General features: G+C 38.8%; 1 protein-coding gene across 1 annotated transcript in view, besides 1 other annotated feature; it reads left to right on the forward strand.

Moving 5' to 3' along the window:
• The window catches only part of EIF2AK4 (eukaryotic translation initiation factor 2 alpha kinase 4), a 101,477-nt gene that overhangs the window by 63,413 nt on the left and 24,989 nt on the right, over nt 1-13,075 (forward strand). Inside the window, exons 20-26 of the mRNA NM_001013703.4 lie at nt 1,204-1,257; nt 3,461-3,697; nt 5,186-5,261; nt 5,666-5,787; nt 9,489-9,538; nt 10,500-10,668; nt 12,087-12,203. Of these exons, the coding sequence (NP_001013725.2) occupies nt 1,204-1,257; nt 3,461-3,697; nt 5,186-5,261; nt 5,666-5,787; nt 9,489-9,538; nt 10,500-10,668; nt 12,087-12,203 (825 nt within the window). The remainder of the gene's footprint in view (nt 1-1,203; nt 1,258-3,460; nt 3,698-5,185; nt 5,262-5,665; nt 5,788-9,488; nt 9,539-10,499; nt 10,669-12,086; nt 12,204-13,075) is intronic.
• Nucleotides 4,761-5,055: an enhancer, noted in NCBI's record as "tiled region #10520; HepG2 Activating DNase matched - State 5:Enh". NCBI's record gives its function as "activates a minimal TATA promoter and a strong SV40 promoter by Sharpr-MPRA in HepG2 cells {active_cell/tissue: HepG2}" and the evidence as "EXISTENCE:reporter gene assay evidence [ECO:0000049][PMID:27701403]".

Genomic DNA, 13,075 nt, shown 5'->3' on the forward strand with positions numbered 1-13,075 from the left:
CTTGATATGAATATGGTTATAACAAGGGAGTAGATTGTAAAGAAATGGGTATTTAGTTCTAGAAGTTAAAGATGCCTGTTGAATGGGCCAGTTGTAGTAACGTCTAAAGAAAACTACCAAGACCAGAAGTTAAAACGGGTCCGAAAAAAATATCTGCCCCTTGAAATGTTTTTCCCAATGAAATTTCCATTTGTGTTCTTGGGATTAATCCTTGCCTCATTTACTGCCTGAGCTAAAAAGGGACCAGTGTTACATGTGCGAGGTCAGAGATGCCCATGAGCAAACCGCATTAAGATGAAAGTGAAGAGTGAGGTTTGGGTGAGAGTGATTTAAATTCACATATTTATGAGCGAGACATCTGGAGAGCCACCTTCTTTCTTACTGAGCAGAGTGAAGCAGGAATATTTATTAAGTTAATTCATAAACACGATAACTAGAATGCAGTAAGAATACTCCTGTATTCCACTATAAGAACACTTCTCTGGATAATTTTGAAAACAAATTATTTTACTGTGAGTACAGTGTGGACAGCTGTGTTCGTAAAGTATAGGACTAAGTGAAGTGATTTCTATTGCCTCGCCTTGACTGCAATGCTCTTAGATGATTATGTCCTTAATGAAGTGCCTTTCTTTAGTCTAAAATTCATGTTTATTTACCAGAAAGGTGAGAACTTTTGGGGAAGTAGAGATTTTTTTTCTCTTACTCTATCTGTGTTGGTATATGGGTGTGGTTTTTTTTTTTTGTTTTGTTTTTTTTTGCCTTTTTTCATCTGCATGTTTAATTAAACTACTTTGTTGTTCTCTGAAGCCATTAGGTTTTTACTTTGTACCCAGATGTGCTTTCTGCCCCTTGAAATTTTTTTCTCAGTGAAATTTCCATTTATGTTTTTGGGGTTAGTCCTTGCCTCTGTTACTGCCTGAGCTAAAAGGGACCAATGTTATAGTATGTGAGGTCAAAGGTGCAGACAGCATTAGGACGAAAGTGAAGAGTGAGGTTTGGGTGAGGCTGTCATTTGGGTAAAGTTTATATTAAAATAATATGTATGTAATTGGAAGAATAAGCGTCAGGTTTCAAGAAGGTATCACCTATCTTTTCTTGCTAGCAAATTTTTATTTCTGTATTTGATTTTCTTACTTATGGTGAATAAATGCTTTCACTGTGGCAGTCTGCCAAAACCTTGCTGATTTGAATATATTTTTTTAGCCCACTTCGCCTAAGTTTCCAGAAGACTTTGACGATGGAGAGCATGCAAAGCAGGTAATTTTCTGATGCGTCAATTACTATGTCTTCAGTCTTGCATTTTAATTATTATTTTTCTTCTTTTTCAATTAGTAATCTTCTGCCACTCATTCTCTTGTGTCCTGGGAACAACGTGGGGAAAAAATATGAAAAGATGAAGCACTTAAAATGTCATTAGACTTGAACTACACCATAAAAATGCCAAGGGCTGGCACAGAAAATTAACAAACTGCAGGGTTCTTTTGTGCAATTCGTTGTGCTTTTGAAGTGCTATTTGGACCCTTGGCTTAGCTGTTGAAAAAAAAAAAGAATCCTTTTACAACTCATTGTTTTTGATAAAGCTTGGGGCTTTAAGAAAAAAATATAATTTAAAACTGTAATTTTGTTCTGTTTTGTGGTTGCAGTAGCTCAGATTATGGGGGAAGGGTTGCATTTTCTGGACAGTCTATTGTCACAGTATTTTAAAGCAAAATAAATTCTCCTATATACCATAAATATCTGAGTATATGTGTGTGTGACTCATGACATAGGCTAATATTGGCATCCAGCAAATATTAAAAAAAATATTATTGGTGAATGTGTGTATTGGGCTTCTGGTATGCCTTTCTTCTGAGTGCCAGTTGTTTGTCTTGGTACAGTGGTTAATACTCTTGTCATATGGAAGTTTCTCAAACTGACTTACTGACAATTATAATCAAGGCAAACTCCTTATTTAAATCATTAATGTTGAGAACAAAAGCATAGATGGAATATTGTATTAATTTGGTCCTTCTTGCTTGCTGGTTATGTATCTGAATGGACATGCCACTTTTCTAGACTTTAATTTCCCTCACCTATAAAATAAAAAGATTAAGTACTCTTTATTTATATTAGCACTAACATTGTGTCATTTGGTAAGTTTAACATGATGGTTATTTATGGCTGTAGGGACCTATTCTGCCTCATCTGTTTAATTAGTGAAGGCCATTAGAAATACATTGAGTCATGTTTCTGCTTCTTTTGGTAGCTATTATTGTTTCTGGGTGTCATAAGTAAACATTCATTTCATAGCCTTTCCTTATGACAAGGTCAGTCTTATTTGGTGTTTCCCCTTGTTGACAGCTAAGATGGCCCAGGAACTATACAAACCATTTTTCACCATGAGGACTGCACTCCTACCATCAGATATATATTAGATACCCTTGAGCATTTGAGTCTGGGCTGTACAAATTGGCACCAAAACAAAAACAACAAAACCACAACCACCTCCCATGTCATAGTCATTGCTTTTTAGCTGAAAGGAGGAAACTTAGAAGATGCTTATAGAATGAGCATAGCATAATTTTTTGCCATGCACATTTACCAGTACAGCAGGGTCTATTATGCTCAATAGGGTATTCTTGTTTTTGTCAGTTTAATATACCTTTCATAAAAGTTGTATCATGTCATTTTCTTTCTATATAATACTCCTATATCCCATACAAACTAATTGCCTGTGTTTTTATTTTACCCTAATACTGGAAGGAGAGTGGTAGGGGGGCATATTTTAAAGATTTATAACTAGAAAATGCTTAATAAAGTCCATCTAATAATTGAGGTTTTCTTATCTCAAATATTTCTCTAACTCCTTATAAATCTTTATTATAAACAAGAGGATTAAACATCATTAAGGAACCTCTCAAAGGTTTAGATTGCCTTCATATGGTTCACTGCTTTAATGAGGTGGCTGTGAAGATATAACAAATCAGTAACATAAATCAAGAGAATTCAAGGGAATGGTATCAATGCAAATAACATAAATGGAGAAGAAACCATTAAAACAAGATGTTTTACATTGCTTTTAGGATTCCAGCAGTTATTATGCATTACAATTTCTACTAAAATTAGGCATGTAAAGCTATTTGTTTTATCTTTTTACATCTTTTTATACGATATTTTCTGTGTTTATAAGGCCTAATTTCTGCTTCTATGTAGTTGTTGATTTGATTTTTTTTGGTTGTGACAATAAGGTATAAAAACAAGGGGCCTCCTTTTAAGAAATGTTCATACTACATTGTTGCACAACTCTGTGGTCATAATAAAGCAGAAAAAATAATGACCTATTCAGAAATTTCAGAATGTCAGTTAAGTGCAAGAATAGTGGCACCTTTTCTTTGACCTGAACTGACTACTGACTTGTCCGGAGAATAGCTGAGCATTATCCATTGCATCCCATTAGCAGTGTGCCTGGGTTTTATTGTAGAAATCAGTCATCTCCTGGCTGTTGAACCACGATCCAGCAAAACGGCCCACAGCCACAGAACTGCTCAAGAGTGAGCTGCTGCCCCCACCCCAGATGGAGGAGTCAGAGCTGCATGAAGTGCTGCACCACACGCTGACCAACGTGGATGGGAAGGCCTACCGCACCATGATGGCCCAGATCTTCTCGCAGCGCATCTCCCCTGCCATCGATTACACCTATGACAGCGACATACTGAAGGTGGGCTTAAGCCACGCTGCACAAAGGGAGCTTCACCTTGTCCACAAAAGGATCAAGCCAGTTTCTCACAGATTCTTTTAATGCCTCTAACATAAGTTCTTATGTGAGGTATTGGAAGCCCCTAAAAGTACATGCAAAATGTGTGTATATGCATTCAGGGAAGAGGACCCATACTTTCAGTCACCTACTTGAAGGAGTCCTTGACCTTTCCTCCTCCCTACCCACCCAAGAGATTAAGAAGCAGTGCCTACAAAAATTAGCCGTGCGTGGTGGCATGCACCTGTAATCCCAGCTACCCGGGAGGCTGAGGCAGGAGAATCGCTTGAGCCTGGGAGGCAGGCGGAGGTTGCAGAGAGCCGAGATCGTGCCACTGCACTCCAGCCTGGGAGACAGAGCAAGACCCCAACTCAAAAAAAAAAAAAAAAAAGAAACAGTGCATTTAGAGACTGATCCCTAGCCCAAACGCCCAGAGCCATAAGCATCAACCAGCTCATATCTAGATGAAGTATAAAGTAGTTCCCAGTGCTGGTTGCACATCTACTTCATCTCAGAAACTCTCTGACAATGCAGATGCCCAGGTCCCGTAGCCCATCTAGTGGCTCAGAATCTCCAGGTGTGAGGCATTTCAGAATCTCATTAAAAGCTCCCAAGCAGTTTCTGAAGTGTAGCCAGGTTGCCAGTTTGGGAAGACTTTAACATTTAATTTCTTTTAAAAAGAAAAAAAATCTGAAGCATATTAGTGAAATGTTAAAATGTGTTAAAGTTGGGTGAGTAGGTAACAGGTATTTGTTATATTCTCTATTATGTTTCTGTTTGCTTAATATATATGATATAATTTAAAAAGATAGAGTAGTGGAGGAAGTCATAGTAAAATTTATGAAAGATCAGTATAGATTTTAGAGACCAAACACAATTTTTACTGGCTGGCAATATTATTATAGAAAGATATTTGCAGGATTATAGGTGACTTTTTTATAGATGTCTTTTTTCATATGTGTTGTTTCTAAATTTTCTATAGTGAAATGGTACTACTTTTATAATACAAAAACAAATGAAAAAGAAAGCTATTGGCAAAATATGTAAATGCCATGTAGCTTTCAACAGGCCTGCCATGAATCACCTTGGTATGTGGGAGGGGCCTGATGCTGTTAGGTGGTCATCGCGCCACAGTATCCCTGAGAGTCAGAGAGAATGTGTTTATTTGATTATCTCCCTCTGAAAGGCAAATATCAATGTGGCCAAGAATTTGGACTTTGAACCCAGGCATCCTTCCCATTGGTTGAAAGGTTAGCTCTTGCTTTCCAAAGCAGGCCATGAAAGATATGTGTCCTCTTCCCTGATGTGTTCAAAGAGGGATGGACTTGTCAAGACTTGTTTTTTGAACCTGGAAATAAGCAGTGTAGTGCCTACTGCAAGCCACAGATTAATATTTTAAAGGATCCCTTTGATAAGGCTTCAATGATGATGTTTTAATCGGTCCTGTTTTAGGGCAACTTCTCAATCCGTACAGCCAAGATGCAGCAGCATGTGTGTGAAACCATCATCCGCATCTTTAAAAGACATGGTATGTACGCCCTTTTTAAAAATGATATTTCTTCTCATAAGACTTTTTTCATCATTAGAAAGTACTGTTAGTGTTCGGGCATATCATATTTTACTTTCAAATTCAGTTATAAATAATTGACATCATATGGAATTTAAGCTTATTTTTGAAACTGATTTGAATATTACAGCCTTACTATTAATACTAAAATGCAATTGGTTTGTGGAGTCAGAAATATGACCAAACTGTCAAACTTAACTCTAGATGAGCTCTCTATTTATAAATTTAGAGAACTCAAGAAAAATTGATATGACTTCAATGGTCCCAGTAGCAATTACTTAACTGTCAGGTTTGTGTTAATTTTAGGTTGCCTTCTAAGGAGAATGTGAACCTGATGATGAGCTATTTTTTCTCATTTGGTGTAGGAGCTGTTCAGTTGTGTACTCCACTACTGCTTCCCCGAAACAGACAAATATATGAGCACAACGAAGCTGCCCTATTCATGGACCACAGCGGGATGCTGGTGATGCTTCCTTTTGACCTGCGGGTGAGGCTGGGAACACACTGCTGACAATCAGAATGCTGTATCTAGTCACAGGGATGGCATCTCTGTTAAAGGATTTTTCCCCCAGGCTTATATTATAAATGTCACCTTTGGGAAATGTATTCTTGAGGAAGTTGTCAGAGTGAGAGTGTTACTGGGGTGGAGGAAATGTTTGGTCCTGAATGCCTCCACCTTCCTAATAGCTCAGGTGTTTATGGCTCTAGGAACTGGAGGAACCCTGCATTGCAGGTGCCACATGTGCACCCCCCAGTGTTGAGTGACCACAGCAGGTTAACCCCACCCACTTAGACAAATAAATGTAGTTTGTTTGTCTTTTTAACTTCCTGGCTAGATCTTCAGTAAACATCCTAACATGTTAATGCCTAGAACAGTTAAATTCTTCTAACAGCAAGTGTCTCTCCTAATTGGGTATGCTGAGTTTTGCCCGTGCCTGCTTTCTTCCGACCCCCAGGGATCCTGTCGACAGCAGCAGTCTTAACTAGTCTTTCACTCACACAGTGTTGGCTACTAACAAGCTATCTGTGGTGCTGTATGATAGAGCAAGGAAAACATGCAATGCATGTGACAGACAAGGTTTAATACCTCTCACATACAGAAAGCACTGACAAGTGGAGACATGAGCAAAGGATATAACCAGGCAGCTCTCAGAAGAGAATATGTGCATGGCTGATAAACTTCTGAAAAGCTGTACTGCCTCACCAATAATAAAGAAGTGCAAAGCTGTCTCAACTTCACCCATCAGACAGGAAACATTTTTAAATTAATGTTATCCAGAGATGACAGGAGTGTAGGAAAGTAGGTATTTTCATATGTTGCTGATGGGAATGTGGACTGCTAAACCTTTAGAAAAGTAATCTAAAAGTTTATAATAAAACTTTAAAAATTTTGTTGCACATTCTTTATCCTTAGAACCAGCAATCCCACTTTGAGCAATTTACTCAAAGAAAGAAAAACACATCAGTGTATGAATGTTAAAAGGATGTTAATTGCCATATTATTGTGGTAGTCAAAAACTGTCTGTCTGTTTATCAGTAGGAAAATGGTTGAATAATTTGTCACCAATATTATGGAATATTAAGGAGCTATTGAAAAGAACATTGAGCTAGGCACAGTGGCTCATGCCTGTAATTCCAGAACTAGGCTAGGTAGGAGGAGTGCTTGAGCCCAGTAGTTCAAGACCAGCCTGGGCAACATAGGAAGACCCCATCTTTACAAAAAATTTAAAAATTAGCCCAGTGTGGTGGCTCGTGCCTGTGGTCTCAGCTACTTGGGAGGTTAAGGCAGGAGGATTGGTTGAGCCCAGGAAGTCAAGGCTTCAGTGAGCCATGATTCTGCCACTGCACTCCAGCCTAGGAAACAGGGCAAGACTCTGTCTCAAAAAGAAAATTTAAAAATTTTTTTTTGTAGAAACGGGCTCTCGCTGTGTTGCCCAGGCTGGTCTCAAACTGCTGGACTCAAGCAGATCCTTCTGCCTCAGCCTCCCAAAATACTGGAATTACAGGCATGAGCCGCCATGCCCAGCCAATCTATATTTTTATATAGATCAAATATGTATTTTTTATATATGTATAAGATGAAAATACAGTCAGCTCTTCGTACATATCCTTGGATTCCACATCCACGTATCCAGCCAACTGTGGATGGAAAATACTCAGAAAAAAAAATTCCAACAAGCAAAATTTGAATTTACCATGTGCTAAACACTGCATTGAATCCACACAAAAGAAGGGATGTATAGGCATAGTAGTAGATATTATAAGTAATCTAAAGATGATTTAAAGTGTACAGGAGGATGCGCATAGGCTATAGGCAAATGCTCTGTCATTTTATATCAGGAACTTAACCATCCACTGATTTTGGTATCCTTGGGGGAGTCCCGGAACCAATTTCTGAGGGACAACTATACATATTTAGATATAGCCATATTTATACTTGATTTGTAGGAATGTGCATGGCACATTGTTAGCTTTTTTTAAAAAGTAAATTTCAAAGGAACTCTATTATCCCATTTTTATTATAGAGAAAGAAAAGTTTTTTTAAAAAAATTGTGTGTGTACAGGAGGCTGAGGCAGGAGAATCACTTGAACCCGGGAGGCGGAGGTTGCAGTGAGCTGAGATTGCACCACTGCACTCCAGCCTGGACAACAGAGCAAGACCCTGTCTGAAAAACAACAACAACAAAACAAAAAAACAAAAAACTGTACATAAGGTATACTGTGTGTGTCTGCATGTACTTTTTTGTTTTATTTTTTTTTTTGAGATGGAGTCTCACTCTGTCTCTCAGGCTGGAGGGCAGTGGCGTGATTTCAGCTCACTGCAAGCTCCGCCTCCCGGGTTCACGCCATTCTCCTGCCTCACCCTCCCGAGTAGCTGGGACTGTAGGTGCCCGCTACCATGCCCGGCTAATTTTTTGTATTTTTAGTAGAGACAGTGTTTCACTGTATTAGCAAGGATGGTCTTGATCTCCTGACCTCGTGATCCGCCCACCTGGGCCTCCCAGAGTGCTGGGATTACAGGCGTGAGCCACCGCACCCGGCCTGCATACACTTGATATATGTGTAGATATATATATTTGGCCCTCTACATCCTTGGGTGGTTTCTGTATCCATGGATCCAACCGAGGATGGAAGATACTCAGAAAAAAAAAAAAAATTCACAAAGCTCCAAAAAGCAAAACTTGAACTTGTCACATTCACGTGTCTGAATGACCGTGCACATCAGGTTGTTTGTATCACCAAAGAGTAAGGTGTCAAAGAATACACTCATTTTGACCATACTTTTTGGAGGGGGGAGTGGAATCTTTTTTTAAATGTATGTCATATGGCTTATTGTGAAACAGGTTTTGTGTTTATAGTCTAAGAAGAAATTCCTTCCACATTCCTCACTTCTGTTTTTCTTTTATAGTGAGTAAAGTGATGTGGGATTATTCTGAGGTAGAGGTAAATAAACAGCAAATCAGATGAGACATTTGCGTTTTGTTGAAAAAAAAAGAATAGAAGTACAAATATTTACATAGCTATACTTAAAGCTGGCTTCTTATTCTCTAAATATTAGGAGACTAAAGTGCAGATTTTTAAATATCAGCTCCCATTCTATAAGCTGATATTGAAATGCAAAAAATTAAAAAGTGAATGTATGTTGAGAATTTGGCCCATCAGTGGTAATGATACCATGTTGGATCTGTTGGGGCAATCTAACAATGGTTTTACTAGTTGTGGTTACTATTTGAAGGTGTTTATTAAGAATTTATTCTAAGAGATTGATAGGAAAATCAGGAAATTCACCATAAGAGATAATACCCATTTTGACTGCATTACTATAAAAGTGACATTTTTTTTAAATTCATAAATAAATAACTTGCACTAATTTTAGTTGGACATAATAAAAGCTCCACAGAGAATATTTAACTAAAAGTGAATTTTAAAAAAAACCTAAGAAATGCCACAGTGAATAAGGTTGATGGTATGTCTAGCAGCGGAGTCCACCACTGACCAAAACACTGAAGAACATTTCAGGGAGTGTGAGTGGTGAGCAGTGCATAACTTAGTGAATACACTAAAAGCCACTGAAGTACATACTTTAAAGGGGTGAACTTTATGGGACAGGAGTTATGTTTCAATAAAGCCGCTATTAACAAAAGGCACATTTTGACATTGACCTTTCATATTTTGTTTATTTTTCAGATCCCTTTTGCAAGATATGTGGCAAGAAATAATATATTGAATTTAAAACGGTAAGAAACAATAGGAGATTCCATTTGGTAGACATAGGAAAATAGTTGAATAATTTGTCAACCAGGAAAGAATATTTTATTTCCTGTGATCCTTACACAGTTAAGAATTCTGGGTTCAGAATATTGAGCTTAGAATATGAACCAGAAGCCCAGCCACAGTACCCCTTCCTGTAAGGTAACTAGGACTGTTAGAAGGAATGTAGCAGGTAGGTACCGTCATGTTCCCACAGTCTATTCTGTACCTTCTAAATGTCCCCAAGCAACATTACTAATTATTTTCACAAACGGTTGCTTGATAAAAACATCTGGCTGTTCATGATCACAGATGGCCCCTTTTAAAACTTAATTGGTGGGACAAATGGCCAGTGGTCTCTATGTGAAAACTGCCTACACAGGTAACCGAACAAAAGCTGCTTGTAGAGAAGTGGAGTAAACCCAGCAGGAACGCTGAGCGCTGAGGACCTCCAGGCACTTAGCCCTGGAAAAAGGCTTTCTGTACATTCAAATACCACAGGGGTCCAACACTGAGATCTTCATAATTTGGAGCAGTATTGTTGTCAATGAGGCACCCTACTTTAAAGCTCCTTTCTTCAACTGAAAGCAAAGCTCTTTACATGCTTTTATTCTAGCTACAAGTGAATAATTAATAATCGTAGTCCTATGGTGTGGGTATCCCTGTGTAGAAAGCAATCACTAAGGTAAAATTTTTTGGTGTAATTTCATCTCTATTTCAGACATTTAAAAAACCTTAAGCCCCATAGCTTAATAGTGGCAAAACTGGGAATTGGAACCTAGATCACAAGGCAAGGCTGTTCCAGGTCAAATTTGTCTTTCAGTCCTCTTGATCATACCACCGATTAATTTTTTTTCATATTTGTTTCTTATATCTTGTTCAACAATTTCTTATACATATTTCTTTCTAGTAAGCAATGACCTTAGAAATCTGGGTTTCTCTCTCCAGATACTGCATAGAACGTGTGTTCAGGCCGCGCAAGTTAGATCGATTTCATCCCAAAGAACTTCTGGAGTGTGCATTTGATATTGTCACTTCTACCACCAACAGCTTTCTGCCCACTGCTGAAATTATCTACACTATCTATGAAATCATCCAAGAGTTTCCAGCACTTCAGGTTCCTTTCCATATTTTAACATTCCAAGATTCCCCACTATATTTCTTCACCAAGTGTGGTGGGGAAAACCACAGCTACAGACCTGCTTCTCAGTCTGTCCTGCAGATGAATCACATCTTTACTAAAGTAACTGAGAAGAGCTTGCTGGTGTTGCTTTTGAGGTTCAGCTCAGGCTCTTACCTTCACAGGAACTGGTTTTGTTTTGGGGGATGGGTATTCTCTGCCCATTCTTCTAAAATGCAAGATATCAGGCTAAGATTCCTAAGATGCTCTTAGCCTGTTCATACCCTGTTTGGAACCCTCAGTGGCTCTATCCTACACCCGATCTCTTCACTCCCCAACTTCCCTTTTCACCAAGTCTGCATGCTGCCTAGCTGGTGGGGACTGCTGCCAGCACTTCTCAGGCTTCCCTCCCCACCCCACACACACACCCTGTCATTCCTGCCACCGTCAGTCAAATGTTCCCTTGTCTAGAAAGTCTTTGCCCAGCCATGGTTTGGGCCCTTTCTCCCCAGGAAGCCTCACTGCACCCTCATTAATTAGTTGGCCACCTTTTCTTCTCAACTCTCACAGGTCTTGATCTGAGACACCCATGTACTACCTTGAGTTATGTTCATTGTTTTCTCCAAGCAGAACATGTGTTTTTAGGGCAGAGCCTACGAGTCCGCTTTGCCATATACCCCCATTGCAGCCAGCTCGGCACATGGCTCACCACTCGGTGAATACTCATTAATCGATTTGTGTGGACAAAAGTTAACAATAACTATTCCACTGGCCTGTGCTTATGAGTCGATTACTACTGGACCAGATCCTTCTGTCTTTGAAATCAACTCTCTCGGGCTTTTTAACATAGCTGAAGACCAGTCAGAGTTGTTTTTGTTTTGTTTTGTTTTGTTTTGTTTTGTTTTGTTTTGGAGACAGTGTCTCGCTCTGTCTCCCAGGATGGTGTGCAGTGATACTATCACAGCTCACTAGCCCCTACCTTCCAGGCTCAAGCAGTCCTCCTGCCTTGCTGCTTGAATAGCTGGGTCTACAAGCATGTGCCACTGACCCCAGCTAATTTTTTATTTTTTTGTAGAGATGGGGTTTCCCTATGTTCCCCAGGCTGGTCTTGAACTCTTGAGCTCAAGGGATCCTCCAACCTTGGCCTCCCAAAATGCTTGAATTACACAGGCATGAGCCACCACCCCAGCCAGTCTGAGTACTTTGGATATATATAATATAGTATTAAATTAGAGTATACTCTGACTATAACAGTGCAAAAAGAATGTATGAAAAAAAAATAAACTAGGAAGCCATATGCTAAATTCAATCCTTCCATTGTGTTAGGATGACAAATTGGTGGTAAGTTTCCAGATTTGGTCATGTACCAGTAATTGCTTTTATAATGAAAATAGTAATTTTTCTCCATATCCCAGGAAAGAAATTACAGTATTTATTTGAACCATACCATGTTATTGAAAGCAATACTCTTACACTGTGGGATCCCAGAAGATAAACTCAGTCAAGTCTACATTATTCTGTATGATGCTGTGGTAAGCATTTAATTACTTATGATGTTGAAAGATAATACCTTGATGTTGAAAGATAATAATAATAGTTCCTGATGATTTTCTTACCCATGCAGCCATGAAACTGAATTGGGAGCCTTATCTCCTTCCTTCATTGCTCTAAATTGAAAGAACCAATTGATTTTAATTATATCAACAGTTAACAAGTATTGGTTGAGCTTTTGTTCCATCCTCAGCCCTGTACTACTAATAACCTCCGGGGTGTTTTTTAAAAGGCTAACTTCTAATTTTAAAAGATCAAATTATTTAATTTGTCAGATAGTAAAGTTATTCACCAACCTACTTATTAAGGCAAATCACTAAGTAATTGGTCCTGATACTTGCCAATAATAATTTCAAAGATAGTTAACATTGACTGAGCCCCGCTCTGTGAGCTAGGCATTGTTCTGAGCTCCTCTGATGGATGAACTCACTTCATTCTCACACCAGTGCTGCTATTACCTTTCCTTTAGAGACCGAGAGCAACTGTTCATGTTGAGAATAAACAGTGTGCCTTGCCCTTGATTCTTCCAGTCTGCCTGTGCTTATCAGTAAAGTCATGTATAGATTTGCATTGATTGAATTAAGGCAGAATGGCTTCGAACTCTGGTGGGGCCTCATTTACCACCTCCTTCCTGTGGGACTGAGGCTATGGCACCTCCAGTTACTCTTCCCTAATTTAGTCACATCATAGTATTCATTACTTTATAGTATATGTGCGGGTACAGAGACTGGAAGGGGACGCATTGAAAAAATGAATTAGTGTTATATTATGATGCTAAGATGGAAGTGAATGCTTATGTTTTCTAATATCTTTTCATGTTAAGTTTTGTTTTCATAATGAATAAGAGGCATCC

The sequence above is a fragment of the Homo sapiens genome, chromosome 15, assembly GCF_000001405.40.
Source record: "Homo sapiens chromosome 15, GRCh38.p14 Primary Assembly".
NCBI lineage: Eukaryota > Metazoa > Chordata > Mammalia > Primates > Hominidae > Homo > Homo sapiens.